Source organism: Homo sapiens, chromosome 16 (assembly GCF_000001405.40).
Source record: "Homo sapiens chromosome 16, GRCh38.p14 Primary Assembly".
Lineage (NCBI taxonomy): Eukaryota > Metazoa > Chordata > Mammalia > Primates > Hominidae > Homo > Homo sapiens.
Genome location: NC_000016.10, coordinates 20,357,837 through 20,381,322, shown reverse-complemented (window position 1 = coordinate 20,381,322; position 23,486 = coordinate 20,357,837). Strand labels below are relative to the sequence as shown.

The window sequence follows — 23,486 nt, the reverse complement described above, 5'->3', positions numbered from 1 at the left end:
GCCAGTTCTGCCTACTTGCCAGGGCTCCTCTGAGCTGAGAGGAGACAGTGCTTTACGCATCTTCTGCAATGTGACTTTGATGAAAACTCCTCTTAGGACACTGGTGGGATTTAGTCCTTGCAGGGTCAAAGCCCCAGTCCCATTCTCATCTAATCTCCAAGGATTGATGGCAGGAGACTTGGCCATGGCCATTGCTCTGGAAGGAGGGAGACTCAGGTTGCCTCTAGGCCTCTATTAATGATGCAGCCACAGTCTGTGCCTGGAAATATGCAGCCCAGTGCTGGTCCTAGTCAATCATTGACATTGCATTCACACCTCAGTTGTCACCGTGTCCTCTGGCACAGAGCCAAGCACCAAAGGAGGTCCCTGACAAGGGCAGTGCCTGATCTGCAGGCACAAAGGAATCAACAATTTGCAGAGTTCATAACTACCTCGGTCCCACAGGGGCCAGAGGGGCAAATGGAGCTCACACGTCCCCAAGAAGATGGCCCAAGATCAAGTTTCCTCAAGCCAGCTTCCCTGATGATTCATTCAGCCCATTCATTCATTCTAGAAAGATTTCTTAAGCATCTACTATGTGCCAGGCATTACAGGAGCTTACTGGGAGCTCACACTGAACAAGCTAGTGAAAAATCATTCTAATAATTTCAAGAAGGGATAGACTCAATGAAGAAAATAGGGTAGCTCGGCTGGGCACGGTGGCTCACGCCTGTAATCCCAGCACTTTGGGAGGCCAAGGCGAGTGGATCACGAAGTCAGGAGTTCAAGACCAGCTTGGCCAAGATGGTGAAACCCCATCTCTACTAAAAATACAAAAAATTAGCTGGGTGTGGTGGCGGGCACCTGTAATCTCAGCTACTCCGGAGGCTGAGACAGAGAATTGCTTGAACCCAGGAGGCAGAGGTTGCAGTGAACTGAGATCACACCACCGCACTCCAGCCTGGGCAACAGAGTGAGACTCCATCTCAAAAAAAAGAAAAAAAGAAAAAGAAAATAAAAGAAAAGAAAATAGAACAGGTCATAAGACAGAGAGTGATTGGCTAAAAGAAAAGAAGAACCAACTGAGAATTGAACAGGCAGAAGAAGGCACTGCCCTTGAAGAGCTGAGGAAAGGGCAGCCCATCAGGAGGGACAAGCCAAGGCTGAAGCCAGTGTTCTGGAAGATAACTGTAACGTTGGAGTGTGGAAAGGGCAGAGGGTGGCACAAAGTGACATCAGAGCAATGGTTCTGATGACCTGAAATTTAAATTCATTTGGCAGGTTTTGTTTTTGGATATTTTCAGATTTTGTAAATCAATTCCTTTTGGATCACTTACAATATACTTTTGCCAGACAAAAGCATATAAGAGAAACCATTTGTTTCCAAGTGTGACTTATTTTTACCTAAAGATGGCTGGAAACACTGTACAGAAACTCAGTGTTGAGGCTGATATCTCAGAGGAGGGAATTACAGCAGATGTGGGGTACCAAGGTCTGAGGGTGGCATGATGCCTCCTCCTTCTCTCTTCTCTTGAAGCCACCATATCAGCTTCACATGAATTTCCATAGGTTTGACTCATTGTGGCTTTTAACATGACCTTAACTATATCTACTAAAGTTGAACATGGCATCTGCTATGACCAGAAATTCTCCTGCTGGCTATACACCCAACAGAAGTGCATACAGTGTGCCCCAGAGACATGCACAAGAATTCATTCAGAATAGCCCCAGCCGGGCATGGTGACTCATGCCTGGAATCCCAGCATTTTGGGAGGCTAAGGTGGGAGAATTGCTTGAGCCCAGGAGTTCGAGACTGGCCTGGGCAACATAGCAAAACCTCGTCTCTACTAAAAATTGCTTAAAAATTAGCCAGGTGTGGGCTGGGCGTGGTGGCTCATGCCTGTAATCCCAGCACTTTGGGAGGCTGAGGCGGGAGGATCACCTGGAGTTCGAGACCAGCCTGGCCAACATGGTGAAACCCTGTCTCTACTGATACTAAAAAATTAGTGGGGTGTGGTGGCACGTGCCTGTAGTCCCAGCTATTCGGGAGGCTGAGCCAGGAGAATCACTGGAACCCGGGAGGCAGAGGTACGGTGAGCCAAGATTGAGCCCTTACACTCCAGCCTGGGCAACAGAGCAAGACTCTGTCTCAAAAAATAAAAATTAGCCAGGTGTGGTGGTACATGCCTGTAGTCCCAGCTACTCAGGGGGCTGAGGTGGGAGGATGGCTTGAGCCTGGGAGATCGAGGCTGCAGTAAGCCACGACTACACCACTGCACTCTAGCCTGGGTGACAGAAGGATAAACTGTCTCAAAAAAAAAAAATGCCCTAAAATGAGAGCAACTAAATGCCCATTAGCAGAGAATGGACAAATAAGTTGTGGGATATTCACAGCAGTGGAAATGAATCTTCAAGTACATGAAAAACTGTGGCTGAATCTCACAAACATAATGAAACCAGAGCCAAGAACATTTATATGAAGTTCAGGAACAGGCAGACTAATGTAATCTGTTACAAGTTAAGGTGGCAATGGAATACTACAAAGCCATAAAAAGGAATGAGATCGTGTCCTTTGCGGGGACATGGATGAAGCTGGAAGTCATCATTCTCAGCAAACTAACACAGGAACAGAAAACCAAACACACTCACTCATAAGTGGGAGTTGAACAATGAGAACACATGGACACAGGGAGGGGAACATCACACATTGGGGCCTGTCTGGGAGTGGAGGGCGAGGGAAGGGAGAGCATTAGGACAAATACCTAATGCACGCGGGGCTTAAAGCCTAGGTGATGGGTTGATAGGTACAGCAAAGCACCGTGGCACATGTATACCTATGTAACAGACCTGCATGTTCTACACATGTATCCCAGAACTTAAGGTAAAATAAAAAGAAGAAGAAGGAGAAGAAGAGGAAGAGGAAGCAGAAGAAGAACAAGAAGGAGAAGAAGGAGAAGAAGAAGTAGTTAGAGTGGTGGTTACTTTTGGATTGAGGGGAGTAGAGGCTGGGAGTGGGCACAACAGGGACTGCTGAGGATCTGGTGATGTTCTAGTTCTCGATTTGGGTTGTAGTCACACAAGTGTGTTCGTTTTGTAAAAATCCATCTAACCATACATTATCATTTATGCACCTTTCTGCATGTAAATATACTTTATTATAAGTTTTTGAAAAGCCTTCATGTTCTCATGAAATAAAACAAATATAACGAAGGTAGAGCCTTTGCAGTTGATTTAGTAGCTCAGGGTGCATTCATCCAGCCTCAGGTAGCAATTTGTCCTGCTGCAGGACTTTGTATAGGCTGTTTCTCCTAGAAGACTTTCCCTCTCCTTAATGCCTCCTAGTTAACTCCAGAGCATTCTTTTCTTTCTTTCTTTTTTTTTTTCTTTTTAAAGACAGAGTCTTGCCCTATCTCCCGCGCAGGAGTGCGGTGGTGCGAACTTGGCTCACTGCAACCTCCACCTCCTGGGTTCAAGCGATTCTCCTGCCTCAGCCTCCCAAGTAGCTGGGATTACAGGCGTGTGCCACCATGCCTGGATAATTTTTTGTATTTTTAGTAGAGATGGGGTTTCACTGTGTTAGCCAGGATTGTCTCGATCTCCTGACCTTGTGATCCGCCCTCCTCGGCCTCCCAAAGTGCTGGGATTACAGGCATGAGCCACTGCGCCTGGCCCAGTGCATTCTTTATTTTACAGCTCATCCATAATTTCCTCCAGGAAGTCCTCCTTGACTTCACAGTCTAAGTCAGGCATCTTTGCTACAGACTCGCAGAACTTTGATTTCAAACATTTCCTTTGGGTGTAATGATGCCCTTGTTCATGCATTTATTTGATTGTTGTCTTCCTCGACAGAATGAGAGCTGTGAAATGGTGGTAATGTGTTTGTTTCTGTTCATCCTTATATCTCCAGGGCTGAGTACAGCACTTGATAGTAAGCACTCGGTACATATTTGCCAAGTAAATAAATGAGGGAAGAAATAAATGAGTGCGTAAATGAATAACAGTCTGTGGATGTAGTTCAAAGCTACTCACAACGAATATTGCTTTATCTCATAAATTTATTTATTTATTTTAGAGACAAGGTCTCACTCTGTCTCCCAGGCTGATTGTAGCTCACTGCAGCCTTGAACTCCTGGGCTCAAGCAATCCTTCTGCCTCAGCCTCCCAAGTAGCCGGGACTACAGACACATGCCACCATGCCTGGCTAATTTTCTTTTGTTTTTTGTAGAGCTGAGTGTCTCGCTATGTTGCCCAGACTGGTCCCAAACTCCTGGCCCCAAGTGATTCTCCTGCGTTAGTCTCCCAAAGTGCTGGGAAATAGGCATAGGCCACCATGCTTAGCTCATAAACTTATTTAAAATGTTCAGTTTTAATGTTCTATAGCAGATACAAATATATAATATTTTACATTACTTTCCATCATGTGAAACTGATAATCCTAGAAAAACACACGTTCACCTGTGTATAGCCTTCTGTACCTTCTGGCTCACCAATTTGTCTTCCCAGATATAGTATATGTGTCTTAATTTTGGAAGCTAAGACTTTTGTGTGCTTGACACCAACCATGCTATAGCTGAGAAATGGCAGTCAGGAGTGGATGACCTTAAAGGGCATTTGGATCTCAGCTGAGGAATGGGGGCTGCAGGAAGATAATAGGATTTTCCCAAGGTTACAGAGCTATGTGGTCTTTCCAGTTATATTTTATTGAGATTTTAAAATATAAATCAATCTTCCTGTCACCTTGGAGAGTTCATAAGAAAAGAAGTCTGGAAATGCCTCCTCCTAAATTTGATCTTCAGGTTCTCTAGTTGGGTGCCTGTTGGCAGTTGAACCTTGGTTTCTTCATCTGCAAAATGGGGAGAGTAAAAGTGTCTATTTCATAGGATTATTGTGAAGATTTAATATATGCAAAACGTTCAGCACAGTGTCTGGGCCTTGTTGAGTGCTCAGTAACATTTAGCTGCTGTTGTTAATGTTCGTGCTTGGAGCTTGGGGAAGAGGGGAATGGAGGAACTGACTTTGGCCTTCAAGGGGTGGGAGCCTGAGACAAGAAGGTTCTATGCATTAAACTTGAGAAAGACCAGCTTCTTGCTTTGGTTCAAGAGGAAACTTCTCTGGTATCTATTTGACTGTGTCTTTCTCCAGGAGTGGTTGAATCTGCTGCCTTAGTCGTTTGGTTGAGACGACAAATTAGCCAGAAAGCATTTTTGTTCAACAGCAGCGAGCAGGTGGCAGAGTTTGTGATATCCAGGCCCTTGGTCATCGTTGGCTTCTTCCAGGTACTGGGACCAAGAGGTGGGAGGAGGCTTTCAACTGATGAGAAGTGCTGTGTCTGGGAGGGGGTGGTGTGAGGAGACTCTTCCGTTTTGATTGCCCAATTTTCTCCATCCAATGATCTGGTTTTTAGGGGAAGCTCCAAGGGTTCAAATGAACAGGAATGGAAAGAAAAGAGAGAAGATTGGCATCTGTATTTAATGGGTTTTAACAGTGTGGCTAATCATTTTAGGGGTCCATTTAGAACATCACTTAATAAAAGGATGTCTTAGTTTCTGGTTTCAGAGCCATTGTTCTCTATGAATCTGAAGGCCACCAGCCATGCTTGGGCCAGGCCAGTTTCTCTCCCTAACCTCTTTCCAAGCATCCTCATATATTAAAACCGATAGCACAGGATAAACATGCACTCATTCGAAAATACACCAACCCTTAGAGGTGCAGTAGGAGATGTTTGGGGAAGAACATAAGTAACTTAGATACAATCATGAAACGTCTCATAATAGCCTTTCATGTAGATTTTTTAATGTTTATAAATAACTTGCTAATTGTTTTTGCTTTAGGAGAATGAGTTTCTCATGTGTCCTAATTCTTTTGCTATAAGTTGGTGACTTCTCTCCTCCCAGTAGAAGGCAGAACTTGGGCATTATATTTAACACAGAGAGACTATCTGCCTCTCTCCCTCACCCCTTGTTACTTCTTTGAGAGGTGTTTGGCCTTGATTTTCTTTCAAGCTAAAGAATGAAGGCTGAAATTCTTGACATTAAGTTCACATTTTGTATTACATGTGGTAAAATCAATTGCCTCTTCTGAAAGTAACTAAGGAATAAATGTTAAAAGTCTCATTGGGTTAGAACACCCTTTAGAGATTGGAAAAGGTCACATTTATCATTTCTCTCTGTTGATCTCTGAGGACTTGCCTATTTTGGCTTTATTCATAGCCAGAGAAGCATTTTGAGTATGAAATACTCATGAAAGAGGATTTGGGTGACCCAGGCAAACCCCAGAACTTGAAAAAGTGAAGAGACGAATCAGCCACCACTGCCGTCTTTCCCTTATATAAACCAGGCACCTTGATTTCTACCAAAGCCTTTCCAAACATCCTTTCCCAAATAGGATTTAGAGGAAGAAGTAGCAGAGTTGTTCTATGATGTGATCAAAGACTTTCCAGAGCTAACGTTTGGAGTCATAACGATTGGCAATGTCATTGGGCGTTTCCACGTCACCCTTGACAGCGTCCTGGTGTTCAAAAAGGTAGGATTTTGATCCTATTGCTAGTGAGAGGTCTCTGGTTCAAAGTAGTGGAATCGTATGAGCTTTGGGTACAAATTCTGGTTCTGCCACTTGTGAACTCAGTGGCATTGGACTAGTTGACTTCTGTGAAGTCACAGTCTCCCAGTGTTGCTCCAACCTTTCCAGCCATTTACCATCTTAAGCTCCTTCTCTTTACTTAACTAGTAAATGCAGTTCATCAAGGCTCAATCCTATGCCCTCTTTTCTTCTACTCCATGCTTCCCCTTCTACCCTTCATCAGCAATTACCATCTATGCTATACACACATCTTATAAATATCCATCTCCAGTGAGATTTCTCTAATCTGCAGACCTTTATGTGCAACACCAGGCATCTCAAAATGGCTAAGCCCAAAGTCATAATCTCCTCTCCAGGTCCTCTCCCAGTGTTTTCTCTTGCTCCAGGAATGATGCAACCACCTCTCCCATCCAGTTAAACAAGCCAGAAAACCCAGGCAACATCCTAACACTTCCCTCTCCTTCACCTCTCATAAGCAATCCATCACCACAACCCTACTGATTTTATAACCAAAATATCTCTTTAACCATTCATTTCTATCTTTATTGATACCATCCTAGATCAACAGTATAAAATGAGGGAAGAAGCCTTATGCCTAGGGTTCGAGACCAGCCTGGGCAGCATAGTGAGTCTACATCTTTAAAAAAAAAAAAGTTATTCAAGCATGGTGGCAAGTTCTTGCAGTCCTAGCTACTCAGCAAGCTCAGGCAGGAGGATTGAATCTGGGAGGTTGAGGCTGCAGTGTGCTGATTAAACCACTGTACTCCAGCCTGGGCAACAGAACAAGACCCTGTCTCAAAAAGAAATACAATAAATAAAAAGAATAATAAAGATAAAAGAAAAACTTAAAACAAGTTAAATTGAAGAGCTTAATTGAGCAAAGAACAATTCATGAATCAGGCAGCCTCCCAAGCCAGAGTAGGCTCAGACAGACTCCAGCAAAGCCAAGTGGTGGAAGATTTATGGACAGAAAAAGCAAAGTGATGTATGTACAGAAAACAGAAGTGAGGTTCAGAAACAGCTAGATTGGTTACAGCTCAGTGTTTGCCTTATTTTAACAATGATTGAACAGTTGGCCACCTTTGATTGGCCAAAACTCAGTGATTGGCACAAGTGTAGGCTATGACAGTCTAGTTACACCTCCGTTTAGGTTATAGTTCACTATGTATAGTGAAAAGTTTAGGCTGAACTTAAAACATGTAAGGAGGCAGCTTTATGCTAAACTTGATTTAACACCTATCAGAGAAGTCCTGAATCTCCTGGGACTGGGTTTGTCTTAATATGAATGAGCCGTCAATCATTAGTTGGAGCAGTATGTGAGAAATTTCTCAGCCCTGGCACAGATATTTTAATATTTGATGGATTACACAGCATGACAATGGCTGGGGCTGTTAAGTCAATTACACTCCTTGTGGCCTGCCGTAGATCTGAGATTTTCATGGCTGTCACCTACCCAGATTCTACCCACTGACTAATCTGGCCAGCCCCTCCTAGTTATTAACTACCTAGATTACAGACTACACCTGATACCATTCCTCAGTGCTTTCCTTTTATCCAAGGAGAAAATTGTGCTATTTATATTTATTAAGTGGCTATATCATGAAAGCTACTGTCCTCCAATATGTTTCTCCTTTTGTACAAGGGAAAAATTGTGAACCGCCAAAAGCTTATTAATGACAGTACCAACAAACAGGAACTCAATCGTGTCATAAAACAGCACCTTACAGATTTTGTGATCGAATACAACACTGAGGTCAGTGAGTAAATGGTCCCCGGAGGAAGGGGAGCTGGGGCCACTGTGTGTGCTTGGGATGACATATTTTCCTGGTCATTTCAGAATAAGGATCTGATTTCCGAGTTGCACATCATGAGTCACATGCTGCTGTTTGTCTCCAAAAGCTCCGAGTCATATGGTATCATAATTCAGCATTATAAGCTGGCATCAAAGGAATTCCAAAACAAGGTTTGTAGAGTGCACCATTGCTCTCTGGGACTCCTGGATGAGGATCCAAGACCTGCAGACCCTGAGCCCATTTGCCTGCCCTGCTTATTATAAATTGAATCAGGAAAGATTGGCACTTGCAATTGCCTGTCAGTTTTCTGATTTGCATGTCAATGCCACATATCATTTACTATTTAATTTTAAATATGCCTTCTCCATTCTTCCTGCCCAGTGTCTCTTCCATGCCAAATCTACACTTCTTCACTCTTCTTTGTAATGAGTCTACTCTGAGAACATGAAGGCTTGCCTGCTTTTTTGATGGACCACTAAGTGGACTCCATACACTAAGAGTGGTATCATTTGGCCTGGAGGTGGGGGCAGGAAAGACCACTGCTGTTTGAGGTCAAGGACTATGAAAGCCTGAAGGTGGGGAGTAGCACAGATTGTCTGGCAAGTAATTGCTAAGATTCTGGGCTTTAACATTGTGCAGACCCAAGTTCAAATTCTCTTTCTCTGGCAAACTACACTGTCTTAGGTGAGTTTCTTAACCCCATATTGAGGTCTCCTCATGCATGAAATGGACTGTTGTAGTAAGAATTAGAAAATATATATGTAAAGCAATGAGCTTTACAATCAATGGTGCTTTTTATTATTATCATCATCACCATTAGAAACAAAGGTTTCCCCTAAGCGCTGTTCCTGTATTTAAGGTAGTTAGAAGTACCTGAACTATGGAAGCTAGTTGATTAATTTTTCTCTTCATCTTTATAGGAAGTATAATCATGGCAGGGTTTTTTTTCTCTTTTAAAAAAATTAATCTGAAATTAAATAAAACAATTGAGAACTTTGTAACCTAAAATAAAGAAAGCCACTAGAATATAACACAAGTAATGGTCATGCTACATTCCACCACATTATTTTCAAAAAAGATGGTTCAAATCACAGAAATAATTCCTCTTGTTAAATATATGTCTTGGGGGTCTTTTTTTTTCCAATTTTACTCTAAGTTTTTGGATATAGTTAAATTGATTGCAACCTGATTGCTTTTTCTCTGTTTCTCCTATTTTACAGTAGTCAATGCTTAGCCATTATTTTCTTCCATTTTTTTTAACTCTTCAATCTCCCTGGTATTTATTTTGGCTTACATCAGAAGATGAAGTTCTAAGTTTCAGTCACCCTAGTGAATTCCCCAAATGCCTTTTATAGACTGTGATCCATTTCACAGACAACGCTAAACAGTTGAATTAATACTGTTTCAACAGATTGCACCTCTTATCTTGTTCACCTCTGTGCTCCAGTGCCAACAGAAGGTAGCAAATATTTATTGAAAGTACACAAGGATGGTTTTAATATGTTTGCTGTGTTTTTCAATTTCCCTGGCACCTAGAAGAGGAGCACACAGTGAGGCCTTTAATCTTCTGATGAATGAATGAACTGCAAGTATCTGACCCTAGGTGGCTGCAGTGGCCTCTAACTCATCTCCCTGCTTCCACTTTTGCTTCTTCTCTGCAACCAGAATGACCTTCTCAAAATTATTATCATGTCACTTTCTAGCTTACCATCCTTCAGTGGCCCACTATTATATTCAGACTAAACCCAAGCTCCTTACTGGACCTCTGACCTCATCTTCGACAGTCTCTGACCTTTTCTCCTTTGTCTCTCTCCCTCATGGTGCTGAAGCTGTTACTGGAAAGGGGTCCGGTTCCAGACCCTAAGAGAGGGTTCTTGGATCTCGTGTAAGAAAGAATTCAGAGCCAGTCTGTAAAGTGAAAGCAAGTTTATTAGGAAAGTACAGGAATAAAAGAATGGGTACTCCATAGACAGAGCAGCCCCGAGGGCGGCTGGTTGCCATTTTTATAGTTATTTCTTGATTATATGCTAAACAAGGAGTGGATTATTCATGCTTCCCCTTTTTAGACCATATAGTGTAACTTCCTGACATTGCCATGGCATTTGTAAACTGTCGTGGTGCTGGTGGGAGTGTAGCAGTGAGGATGCCCAGAGGTCACTCTCGTCACCATCTCGGTTTTGGTGGGTTTGGGCTGGCTTCTTTACTACAACCTGTTTTATCAGCAAGGTCTTTATGACCTGTATCTTGTGCCGACCTCCTATCTCATTCTGTGACTAAGAATACCTAAATCGTCTGGGAAAGGAGCCCCGTAGGTCTCAGCCTCATTTTACCCAGCCTGTATTCAAGATGAAGTTGCTCTGGTTTAAACACCTCTGACAAAGCCACACTGACTTTTCTTTTCTATTCCCAGAACACTCTAAGCTCTCTAGGTGTTTGTTTTGTCTTCAGGCCTTTGCACTGGCAGTTTCCACCACCCGGAATAGTGTTCCATGACTTGTTACTATCAACTATGTCCCAGCTGAAATGTGACCTCCTCAGGTTCTCCTCTTGACCACCCTACCTAATCCTGAGCCCCTACCTTACCCCATCGGGGCAGTTACTCTCTATCACATTGCCCTGTTTTATTGTCTAACTGGCACTCATTGCTGTTTGGCTTTGTAAGTTCATTCACTCATTTGTTGCCTGTCTTCTCCACTAGAACATAAACTCCTTGAGGGCAGGGATTTTGTCTGCTTTGGGCAGGGTTGTGTCCTCAGTGCTGAGTAAAATGGCTCACACATAGTAGACACTCCATGAATGTTTGTTTAATGAATGAGTGAATGAAGTCATGAATTTCCTTGATAGAATAATTTTGAATAATAATTATTCAAATAAAAAATAATAAGAATTGTCATGTATTGAACACTTTCTACCTGCCAGTCCCTGAACTAAGCCTTTCCATACATTGTCCTGTTTAATTCTCACAGCAACCCTATGATAGTCACTATGATAATCATTTTACAGATCAGGAAACTGATGAAACAGTTTGAAACAGAATGAAAGCTCAGGACTTCCTGACCTCCTGAAACTGTGTGGATGGAGCACACCACAAGGAGGCTGAAGCCAGGCTGGTGGCTACTGCCTGCCATGCATTTCGGTGCAGAGCTCCACCTGCCTTTGTTACATTTTGCAGAGGTGCTCCACAGACCCCACCATGTGCATCCCCTTAGTCCACAGCCTTTCAGCAGTTTTTCTCCACTGGCAAAGGATCCAGAGAGACAAGGGTTTTGTTTTCTTTGGCAGATCCTTTTCATCCTTGTGGATGCAGACGAACCCAGAAATGGACGTGTCTTCAAGTACTTCCGGGTCACAGAGGTCGATATCCCATCCGTCCAAATCCTAAACTTGAGCTCTGACGCCAGGTACAAAATGCCTTCAGATGACATAACCTACGAAAGCCTCAAGAAATTTGGCCGCAGCTTCCTGAGTAAAAATGCCACAGTAGGTTTTTTCTTGGACAAGGTTTATCCAGAACCTCAAAATCATCTCCTTCTCATAATTCTGTTGGCCTTGATAATTCTCCTCACCTGTATGTGGAGGCAGAATAAAGATCAACTTTGTGGCTCAATGTGGGGAAATCCCCCATCTCCCCACCTCAAATCTATCCAACTTCTGACCTATCCCAAGCCTTTAATTCCTCCACTTATTCTTAGTTGTAAAGTGGAGGCATTTCCTTTGCAGGAATTCACAATAGAAATGCAGGCACTCAGTAGTGTTAACTTGCACTCTGAAAGGAGGCTCTTCTTCTCCTATCACCTCCAATGTGAAAGATCTACTTGGTCCAAGAGTAGATGCTTGCTTTGAGGAGGAGAAGGGAGATGGAGCCACAGGGCAATCAAGATGTAGCCTTAAAAGCTTTAGGGACCTTTTGGTTGGATGGGGTTAGAAAGGGCATAGTCTATTTCGCTGACAGGAAGGAGAGGCTGCAGAAACACATGGAACACGTAGTCACCCACTGTCTATGTCTCCACAGCTACTCTGCTGAGTAAGGTAACCATATTATTAATTTTCCAAATTGGGACATTATGGGAGTAAAGGATTCTGGAATGGGCCAGGTGCGGTGGTTCATGCCTGTAATCCCAGCACTTTGCAAAGTTGAGGTGAGAGGATCACTTGAGCCCAGGAGTTCGAGGCCATACCAAGATCACATCTTGACAAAAAATTTAAAAATTAGCCAGGTGTGGTGGTGTGCATCTGTAGTCTCAGCTACTTAGGAGGCTGAGGCAGGAGCATTGCTTGAGCCTAGAGATCAAGGCTACAGTGAGCTACGATCACACCACTGCACTCCAGCCTGGGCCACAGAGGAAGACCCTGTCCAGCACCACCCCCCCAAAAAAAGTCTGGAACAATAGAAGTAAATCGAGACTCCAGACAAACCCAAATGATGGTCCCCTTACCTGAGTCTTCTACAGCCTTTTGTCCATTCTCCCAGAGACACAGCTGCCCCTATAGCCTTTTCTGTGGAAGCTGTCTCGTGTGCACAGCATTTTCATGGGCTGAGCGGTGAGGCTGCTGTCCTTCTTTCCAATTCCAACCCATTTTCCTTCTTTCATCTTCAGAAACCCCAGATGCCTTGGATCCCATGCTTTTTGACCCTGTGCTCCCACCTCCTTGTTGCTGTCCTCTGACTATCTGCCTTCACTCTCTGAGGACTTAGGCTCCTGATGGCAGCCTTTCCCTAGCCCCAACTCTGCTGTCATTTCCAGAGATGTCAGTGTCTACGACCCTGGTCTCTCTTCTCCAATAGCTGACGTGTCCATGCCATGTCAGCTCCCTGCTCCCATGCCCACAACCCGGAGATTGCAGTACCTCCCAATGCCTGATTTTTCCCTCCAGGACACACATGGCTACGATTCCTCATCCTTCTCATTGCCCTCACCCTCCTGATCCCATTTCTCTTTAGTGCCCCCTCTGTGAACTTGCATTCCATCATTCATTGCTCTGATGATGATTCCCTTACCTCCTTTATCCCCTCCATCTTCCACCTCCTGTATACCCCATAGTACTCACCAGGCAAGTTCCAACTCTGGTTGAACCCCCTTAACTTCCCTGCTTCCAGACCAACATCACCACGAGGGTGACTGGCTTCATGGCATTGCAAACCAGGCTCCCATGGACTCTGAAAAGTGTCCTGGCATCCATATGGAAATTTCAGTTAGTGTGTTCATTTTTAAATCTCAGAGTCTCTCTCTCCTCATATCCCATTCCCACTCACTCTCAGCTGAGTACTGTACCCCTAGATCACTAAGAAAATAGATGTCCTCACATTGGAGGCCTCCTCACTTTCCATTACCACATCTAAAATCCTACCTATCCTCTCTCTCTTCCTTGCAGTTAGATCTGAGGTGGTGTCCGTCTCCCTCGCAAAGGCCAACATGTCTTCTTATGCTGTTAGAGGAGAGATGGGCATCCTCTACAAGATCTATGAGATCCACCTGATCTGAGCCATTCCCAATTCCCCACAATTGTCACCATTTTCTATCTCCCATGCCCCATGGCCACCCCATGTGTGCTCCCACTGAAAGAATCTTTAAGTGCTTTCCAGAGGCTAGAGCGGGTGTGGTGAGGGAGGACACTGTGGAAGAAGAGGCTGTGAGCCAGACAGAGGCTGCACAGCAAGGGTCAACATGGTAAAACCCCGTCTCTACTAAAAATACAAAACATTAGCCGGGTGTGGTGGCACGCACCTGTAGTCCCAGCTACTCAGGAGGCTGAGGCAGGAGAATCGCTTCAACTCGGGAGGTGGAGGTTGCAGTGAGCCCAGATCCCACCACTGCATTCCAGCCTGGGTGACAGAGCGAGACTCTGTCTCAAAAGGAAAGAAAGGAAGAAAGAAAGAAAGAAAGAAAGAAAGAAAGAAAGAAAGAAAGAAAGAAAGAAAGAAAGAAAGAAAGAAAGAAAGAAAGAAGAAAGAGAGAGAGAAATAAATAAAGAAAGAAAGAAAGGAAGGAAGGAAGGAAGGAAGGAAGGAAGGAAGGAAGGAAGGAAGGAAGGAAAGAATTTGGTTTCCTAAGAGCAATGAGAGAAGCCAGATTTGCATGGTAGAAATAGAGCCCTGCTTATAGAGAATAAAGGTGTGGGAGGATTGGGAGGGGACGGGGGGAGAACATCTGGAGGCTCTTCTGGCAATCAAGATGAGAGATGGAGGCTACCTGGATTTGGTCAGTAACCACACAGATGGAGAAAATGATGTGGATTCAGGAGACATTCAGGAGGCAATGGTTGTAGATAAAAAATATGTTTTGAGGTTTCCAACACTTACTTCAAAAAGAAGCAAAAGCTGAGCTCATTTTTTGTTCATTCAGTTGCAAAACATTTATTGAGGATCTACTATGTAACAGGCAATGGATGCTCAATGGCGAGGAAAGAAAAATCTCTTATGACATTCCATCTATTATGGTAGAGACACATTAATCAAATAATTAGAAAAATAAATATAAATAGTAAACGTGAATAAGTGATACAAGAAAAAGTGCTGAGCATTATGAGAATTTATGGCAGCAAGTCCTCATCTAGATGCGGGGAGGGTCAAGGAAGTCCTCCCTTGGGTCATTCTGAGACATACATTTTGAGTTACCCAGATGAAGAAGGGAGAGTAGGAATCAGGAGTGGGGAGGCCTGTCAGCCAGAGGGAACAGCATTAACAAAGGCCTGAGCTGGGAGGAAGGTTGGCCATTTGGTTAAGCTGAAGACCAACATGGCTGAGGAAAGAAAAGAGAAGACTTCCTTTATTGCAGGAACCAATCAAAGTGTGATCAAGGTTTTATAGGTCATGCAAATGGTCTTGATCTTGATTCTTAGAGTAATTGAGGACAACTAATTTTTTTTTTTTTTTTTTTTTTGGAGACGAAATCTTGCTCTGTCAACCAGCCTGGTGTGCAGTAGCGCAATCTCTGCTCACTGCAACCTCTGCCTCCTGGGTTCAAGCAATTCTCTTGCCTCAGCCTCCTGAGTAGCTGGGATTACAGGTGCATGCCACCATACCCAGCTAATATTTGTATTTTTTCTTTTTTTAGTAGAGATGAGGTTTCACCATGTTGGCCAGGCTGGTCTCAAACTCCTGACTTCATGATCCACCCGCCTCGGCCTCCCAAAGTGCTGTGATTATAGGCGTGAGCCACCGCGCCCGGCTTAAATCTTCTTTTTATAAAATCTGAGAATCCATCCCAGTTTGAAGCTTTGTCTGCTCCTCAGTCCCCTGACCCCAAATCGCCCTGAACCATCCAGGGTTGACATCAAGCTCATGATCCATCTCAGTATTTCAAACCCTTTCCTAAGGCTCTTGTGAAAAAAACACGAGAAAACCTTTAGTGGTTTCCAATCAAGGTGGGGAGCCCCACAACTTCAAGACCCTTTATGAAGACTCTTAGGCCTCTCAAATGTGCTTCCTAGAAACATCAATCCAGTGAAGAGATTCCAAAATACTGGGACCAGGGACTGGTTAAGCAGCTCGTGGGGAAGAACTTCAACGTAGTCGTCTTTGACAAAGAAAAGGACGTATTTGTGATGTTCTGTAAGTATCTCCAAGAGGGGTTCTGAGGCAACGGGTGCCAAAATTATGTTTCAAGTGTTTCTCCTGAATTGTTGGGCACTGAAATCTCTAAAACCCATCAATGCACCATGCCAAGGATGGTCTTCAGATACCCAAAGGGATTGACTCAAGATGCTATCAGGAACAATGCAACTCTTTCCCCCAGAAATGTAATTATTGGAATGTATGCAATGCCTTCCACATAACCCAGGCCTATGGCTGTTTGTAAAAACAATAATGCTCATGGCTGACAATGTTTGCTTGGATGCTGTAGTATATTGGGCTTTATTCTAAGCCATTGCATACATTATCTCATTTAATCCTAACGACATCCTTTTGAAAGTAGCTACTTTTATTGCTCAGACTTTGCAGATGACTAAATAGGGTCTCAGGGAGGAGAAGACATTTTTCCATTATCTTGCAGTCAGTAAGTGCCGGAACTGGGATTTGAACTTAGGCATCTGACTTCAGCACCTACACTCCTAACTGCTGTACAGGATTTCTTTGCTTCTGGCTTTAGATGACTTATCAAATGGCCCATAGGAGGTGGGGACCCCAATCCTCCATGTACAGTACTTAGCACAGCGTCTGGCATATTGTAAGCACTTGATAAGTGACAATTGCTACTGCTGTTGTTATTCCTATCATTATAATTACTTCCAGGGCTTATCTAAGGACTATTGCCCTTTTCCCATTGTTTCTGATTTGCACGTGGGAGACAAAGCCAGAGATGTTCTCTCCCACCCTGAGACACAGAGAAAGGTGATACTGAAGTTCCTTCAGACATTTCTTTTATTTTAACATTTAATGAGCCCTTACAATGAGTCAAGCATGAGTTTGCTGTTGACACACCTGCTCTAATGAGCTGTGTAACAAGTTTGTGAGGAAGGTATGGTGGTTTTCCCCATGTCACAGATCAGGGAACCCCATCTCAGAGAGGTTAATGATCTTACCCTAGGTCACACAGTAAGTAGCAAGACAAGAAGTTTAACACAAGCTCTAGTGCTATTACTTTCTGGAGGGTAAGACAAGGGCTACACTGCATCATGCAGGCCTTTTACAATCACTCTGAAAGGGACTGTTATTCACAGAGTGAGGTGCTTAAGGTCTGTGGCTGAATCACCAAGATCCGCTGCCTTTCAATGAGAGGCTAGATGCAGCTGTTCTGTACTTAAGTCACACCCAGAATTGTAAGACTGTCCATTTCATTTTGATAAAAGGCAACAGCAGCTTCATTTTCTTGGAAGTAGGGCCACGGGATTGGCCCCCTGGGGCTGCAGCCATTATGCCCCCTCCTGTTCTGACCCAGGACCCGCTGAGTGCTAGGGGGGCTGCCAGAGATGCTGCAGGCAGGGGGGATGGCCATGGAGACACTTGGCTTGTAAATGGGGTATGATCATCCAAAAGTGGTGTGTCTGGGGGCTTTTGAGGCCATTTCGCTTACAGAGCCAGAAACTGAGCTTTGAGCTCTAGTAGAAGGAAAGCAGGAAAGATTTGCTTTCCCTTGGGTTGGAGCTGGTCTCTGGTTTCCAGAGGCCCAGGAGCCTGGACCACACTCAAAGACCAAAGAACTGTCCACAAGAAAGTTCAGTGTCCCCTGTCCAAGAGTAATTATACCTGTCACACTTCTTGGGGATGTTCTCCTCCTCTGAATTATATATGTATAATAACATGACATGTAATTACCTATAAATGACATGACATAACATAACATAATATCTATATGTTATGTTATATTAATGCCTACCTGTGGTATAGTGGTCACAGGTCAAAGCAGCCTGTCTTTAAACCCCACTTCTTCTGCTTAATTACTCTGGTCTGAAAAGTGCAATTACTGCATAGCTTTGGGCAAGTTCCCAAACCTCTATTGTGAAAACCCCCGTGTGCTGTAACACATATGCACACACACACACACACACACACACATACACATACACAAAAACACACACACACTTTTTGGAAGAACATTAAAGTCATCTAGCGTAAATATTGTTCTTGGCTTTCTTCTTCTACTAGAGTGGAACACTATGTTAAAAGAAAGGAATTTGAAAAAAAGAAAAAAAGCAAGCTGGGCACAGTGGCACAAGCCTGTAGTCCCAGCAAATCAGGAAGCTGAGATGGAAGGATCTCTTGAGCCCAGGAGTTTGAGTTTGAGCCTAACCTGGGCAACATAGCAAGACCTTGCCTCTAAAAAGCAAAACAAAAAAATAGAAGAAAACATGAACACACTAAAAGTGTTAGTATTTAGGTGGAAGAGGGCTAAGCTATTTTTTTCTTTTTGTTTTCTTTTTCTTTTTCTTTCTTTCTTCCTTTTTTTTTTTTTTTTTTTTGAGATGGAGTCTCTCTCTGTCACCCAGACTCGAGTGCAGTGGCGCAATCTCGGCTCATTGCAACCTCCACCTCCCGGGTTCAAGCAATTCTCCTACCTCAGCCTACCGAGTAGCTGGGATTACAGGTGCACGCCATCATGCTCGGCTAATTTTTGCATTTTTAGTAGAGATGGGATTTCACCATGTTGGTCAGGCTGATCTCGAACTCCTGACCTTGTGATCCACCCGCCTCAGCCTCCCAAAGTGCTGGGATTACAGGTGTGAGCCACTGCACCCAGCCAAAACTATTTTTTTTCTAATTTATCGAATAACAATTGGGAACTATTGCTGAAATGTAAAAATAATCTAATATATGATTAAAAGAAGGAGGGAGTGCAATTGGCAAAACAGCAGGACCACAAGTGGAACACAGCGATGCCATGTGTAGGGTGGCGCCAGCTTTCTGGATCTTCATCAATGTGAGCCTGAGCCATGGACCTTCTCTTCCAGATGCACCCTGGTCTAAAAAGTGCAAGATGCTGTTCCCACTGTTGGAGGAATTGGGCAGAAAATATCAAAACCACTCCACAATTATCATTGCCAAGATCGATGTCACAGCAAATGACATTCAGCTGATGTACCTGGACCGGTACCCATTCTTCAGGCTGTTCCCCAGCGGCTCTCAACAAGTGAGGGGCTCTTGGGACGCACATGGCTGAAAACAATGTTATGTTATTATCAGGGACTCAGTTTCTCCCTACCACCAGCTGCGCTTTCTACCAAACCAGTTTTATTCTCAGCTGTAGCCACTATCCATCCTCTCACATTCAAGTTCAAAGATTATTTTCCAGTAGTTTGCACCAAAGTCCTGAGACTCACTATCATTGGGTGTAGCTTGCATATCCCTGACCCAACCACTGTGGCCAAGTGGATGTGGGTGTTTTGATGGGCAGGCCTGGTTTTATATGGTTCCTGCTAGCATTGGGGCTGAGCTCTGCCCTAACTATCTGAAATAAGGTGGGAGGAATCTCCATGAGAATATTGGATGTGGGGTATTACCAGGTGAAGGCAAAAATACATGCTAGAGACAAACAATGTCATTTCCACCTTGGGATTACAGTCATTGGCCATAACCAGTGTTGATACAACCCACACTCCATGCCATGTCCATGCATGGGAAAGAGCATCAGTCAAAGAAATGTGAGCCCAGGTTCCTGCTCCTTAGAAGAGTATGGATGAATGCAATTGAAATCAAGGGGGAGGAAGAGCTTCTGGAGGGCAGATATGGCTGCAAGTCTCCATGCAGACCCAGGACTCTGCAGAATGGTGGGGACTTAAATCAGGTTAGAGGAGGGACTGTGTACTACAGGTAGGAAGTGTGGTCTGAACAAAGAGGTGGGCAGAAGGGTGACCCCAGCACTGTGGCAAGATTCCACTGTGACCCACTCTTTGCTCAGTCTGCACTGCAGAGGATGCATGTCGGGGAGTTGTGTTACTGAGGCTGGGCTGAGAGGATGAGGCTAAGGTAGTAATCTCAAATTATCTGAAAAGAAGCTTAGGTGACCTGTGGGCATTAAGCAGCTTCTGAACTTTCCTAAAGAGGAAAGGGAGTCGGGCGTGGTGTCTCAACGCGTGTAATCTCATTACGTTGGGAGCCTGAGGCAGTTGGATCACGAGGTCAAGAGATCCAGACCATCCTGGCCAACATGGTGAAACCCCGTCTCTACTGAAAATATAAAATTAGCCAGTCGTGGTGGTGCATGCCTGTAGTCCCAGCTACTCAGGAGACTGAGGCAGGGGAATCGCTTGAACCTGGGAGGCAGAGGTTGCAGTGAGCTGAGATCACGCCACTGCACTCCAGGATGGTGACAGAGCAAGATTCCATATAAAAAAAAAAAAAAAGAGGAAAGGGAACTTGTGATAATGGAGCACTGACCATGTACCAGATGCTTCCGAAAAGAACTATTCTTCCTCTTATTATTGTTGCTATGATAGTAATAATAATAATAACAAACGCCTATCGTGCTTATCATGAACCAGGCGCTGTTTTCAATACTTCACATACATTACCTCATTTAATCCTTATAACAACCCTACGAGGTAGGTACTATTTTGTCTCCATATTAGAGATAGGAAAAGTGAGTCAGAGAAATTAAATAAGCAGACCACACTGCAGTAATGCAGCCAAAGTTTAAGGCTTTGCTGTGTGGTTTTACAGTCCGTGCTTTGATCCACTGCATAACAACCCTATGTCAGAAGCATTTTTATTATCCTTCCCTTGGAACCATGGCACTGGAGGCTAAGAGAGGTTAGGGAACCTGCATAACATACCCGGGGTTGTTAGGAATTTGACCCTGGGTTTACCTAGGTAGCAATCCTCGAGCATCTCTGCGGGAAGAGGATCCCATCCTGACCCTGTTCCATTTTCATCCTAGGCTGTCCTGTATAAGGGAGAACACACCCTGAAGGGCTTCTCTGACTTCCTGGAAAGCCACATCAAAACTAAGATTGAGGATGAGGATGAGGTAAGGGGCAACAGAAATACTCTGAATTATTCTGTCCCACACAGAATCCCTAGGAACTTAATGGACAACAAAAGAGTATGGCTGGAGTTCCATAATCTTGGGAGATGGTTGAGGATGGATGGAGAAGCATCCAGGTTGGGTGACTCTACTAGTCACCTTTATTTCAAAGGCACTTACTATGGGAAGCAGAAATGGCAAACTTTAGAAACATCTAGAAAGACCAAGGCTCTGAGGTAACACACAGCTCCTTGCCTTGGGCCGCTTCCCTGGCACTGACCAGATGTCTTGGTGGGATTCTGCCCTCTGGCATTACTCTCCTGATGCATAGGACCACAGTCCCCTTTCTCCCCTAGCCATGCCTCAGTGAGGCCCTCTGCTGGACAGTGCCCTCTGTATTAATTAAGACTTCCACTGGAAATTTCAGACACTACTCTTTGCTTTAAGCAACAATGGGAATTTATCCCATATAACTGGTAGAACATCAGGTGTGGGTGGATCCGGAACCCAGACTTGCTTTCTGTCTTCCCATCTCTGTTTTCCTCTATGTTGGTTTCATTCTCAAGTAGTCATTTCCCCACAGAAGTTCAAAGATTACACCACAGCTCCAAACTATCATCCTCCCAGTTTAGAAAGCAAGCATCTACTTCTTAGATGTCCCAGAAAATGTCCTGGACAGAGATCTCATTAGCTAAGACTGGTCACCTGTCCAGTCCTGGAGCTAGTGGTGCAGGAGCCACATCTACAGACTTAGAACCTTTGGTTCCCCCAAAGGTCCTCTTACCTGAAGGGTGAAACCACAGTTGGGCACTTTACCTCTGAAACCAAACGGATCTTCAGCATCTGTGAAAACCCTGCAGTCCAAAGACTGATTCTCTCTGGGCACTTTCAGAAAAAGTAGGCTTGACTATTACAACCACAATGATGACATATTTCTTGCCTCTTTATTTCTTTCTCCCTTTCTTCCCTCCCTCCCTTCTTCCTTCCACCTTTGCTTTCATAGCTGTTGTCTGTTGAGCAAAATGAAGTGATAGAAGAGGAAGTGCTAGCTGAGGAAAAGGAGGTGCCTATGATGAGGAAAGGGTTACCTGAACAGCAGTCGCCTGAGCTGGAGAACATGACCAAGTACGTATCCAAGCTGGAAGAGCCCGCTGGGAAGAAGAAAACATCTGAGGAGGTGGTGGTGGTGGTGGCTAAGCCAAAGGGACCTCCAGTGCAAAAGAAGAAACCAAAAGTCAAGGAAGAACTTTAGCTTCTCCAATACCAGGAAAAAAGATGCTTATTTTCCAGATCCTGGCATCATTTTCTGAATGGATTGATTCCAATAAAAGCATATATCATTGTGGTAGGGTAGGTGGGGCGGGGGTAGGGGTGGATAATAAAGCCTCTGAGTGTCCTTGGCTCTGTTTTACTCATGACCTCTTTTTCCTGGTTGGTGCAGTCTTAGAAGAACTGTTTGACCTAGAATTCAGACACGACTGCAAGGGAAGCCACAGTAGCAACATTCAATGAGTGTGTGCAACATGCTCGGCATTCATCTAGTTCTCACACCATCACTGAGCTGGGGTTCCTTATCCCCATTCTATAGATGGGAAAAACTGAGTCACAGAGAGGTTAAGCAACCAGTCAGGATCACACAGGTAGAAAGCTGTTGAGATGCAACCAATCCCAGGCAATCACACTCCAAAGACTGTGCATTTAACCACTATGCTACCATCTCCTACGAGGTTAGGTGTCCCCAGAGTTTGGCTGTCTTTCAAATAAGGTGGATTGATTGGCTTACACTGCATTTGGGCACAGTAAGAAAACGATCAAATCCCAAACCTGTCCTCAGACTTCCACATCTCAGTAAGTGGCCCATTCACTCAAGCAATCACTCCAGAATCATCAACAACTGACTTTTTCTTTCTTCCTTTTTTTTTTCTTTTTTTTTTTTTGGAGACAGGGACTCACTCTGTCACCCAGGCTACCCTATCCAGCCACCCACCTACCCTACCACAATGATATATGCTTTTATTGGAATCAATCCACTCAGTGCAGTGGCATGAACACGGCTCACTGCAGCCTCAACCCCCTAGGCTCAAATGATCCCTCCGTCTCAGCCCCACAAGTAGCTGGGACTGCAGGCACGCACCACCATGCCCAGCTAATTTCTGTGTATTTTTGGAGAGATGGGGTTTCACCATGTTGCACAGGCTGGTCTTGAACTCCTGAGCTCAGGCAATGCACCTGCCTTGACCTCCGAAAATGCTGGGTTCAACTGCCTTCTTTTACTATCATAAAAGTAGCTTATCCATCCATGTAATTCTACCCACTTCCCTTCATCTCCACTGACTGTCACCCGCCATTTCTCAGCTGAAGTCTCCTAACTGGTCTTTTTGCTGCCCCTCTGTGCCTCCCTCCCAGCCCCCATCCCAAACCCCTCCATATTCCATGCAATCACTGAGGCTATCTTTTAAAAACCCATAGCCTTAAGCACTTGCAACATCACCTTGTCTAATTCTGTAATGCAGAACGGATCGCTGACCCGTATGGGTAGGTGTCCTGTCAGGAACCCGGCGGCACAGCAGGAGGTGAGTGGCGGGTGAGTGAGCATTACCGCCAGAGCTCCACCTGGGTATTAGATTCTCATAGGAGCCCAAACCCTACTGTGAACTGGGATATGAGGGATCTAGGTTGCCGGCTCCTTATGAGAATCTAATGCCTGATGATCTGGCATTAGATCTGTGCCATT

The 23,486-nt window shown here is 44.4% G+C and overlaps 1 protein-coding gene across 5 annotated transcripts in view; it reads left to right on the top strand.

The window, feature by feature from the left end:
* PDILT (protein disulfide isomerase like, testis expressed) overlaps nucleotides 1-22,148 on the top strand; it is a 45,563-nt gene extending 23,415 nt beyond the window's left edge. The window contains exons 4-12 of one of the 5 annotated variants that reach the window (NM_174924.2): nucleotides 5,122-5,255; nucleotides 6,364-6,501; nucleotides 8,201-8,311; nucleotides 8,396-8,521; nucleotides 11,634-11,831; nucleotides 15,783-15,903; nucleotides 18,741-18,919; nucleotides 20,666-20,755; nucleotides 21,756-22,148. In NM_174924.2, coding sequence (NP_777584.1) covers nucleotides 5,122-5,255; nucleotides 6,364-6,501; nucleotides 8,201-8,311; nucleotides 8,396-8,521; nucleotides 11,634-11,831; nucleotides 15,783-15,903; nucleotides 18,741-18,919; nucleotides 20,666-20,755; nucleotides 21,756-22,004 — 1,346 coding nt within the window. In that variant the 3' untranslated portion in view covers nucleotides 22,005-22,148. Of the gene's footprint in view, nucleotides 1-5,121; nucleotides 5,256-6,363; nucleotides 6,502-8,200; nucleotides 8,312-8,395; nucleotides 8,522-11,633; nucleotides 11,832-15,782; nucleotides 15,904-18,740; nucleotides 18,920-20,665; nucleotides 20,756-21,755 lie in introns of those variants that run through there. The other 4 variants (XR_950754.2, XM_011545766.4, XM_011545765.2 and 1 more) reach the window with 4 other exon arrangements.
* The last annotated feature ends 1,338 nt before the right edge of the window (nucleotides 22,149-23,486 follow it).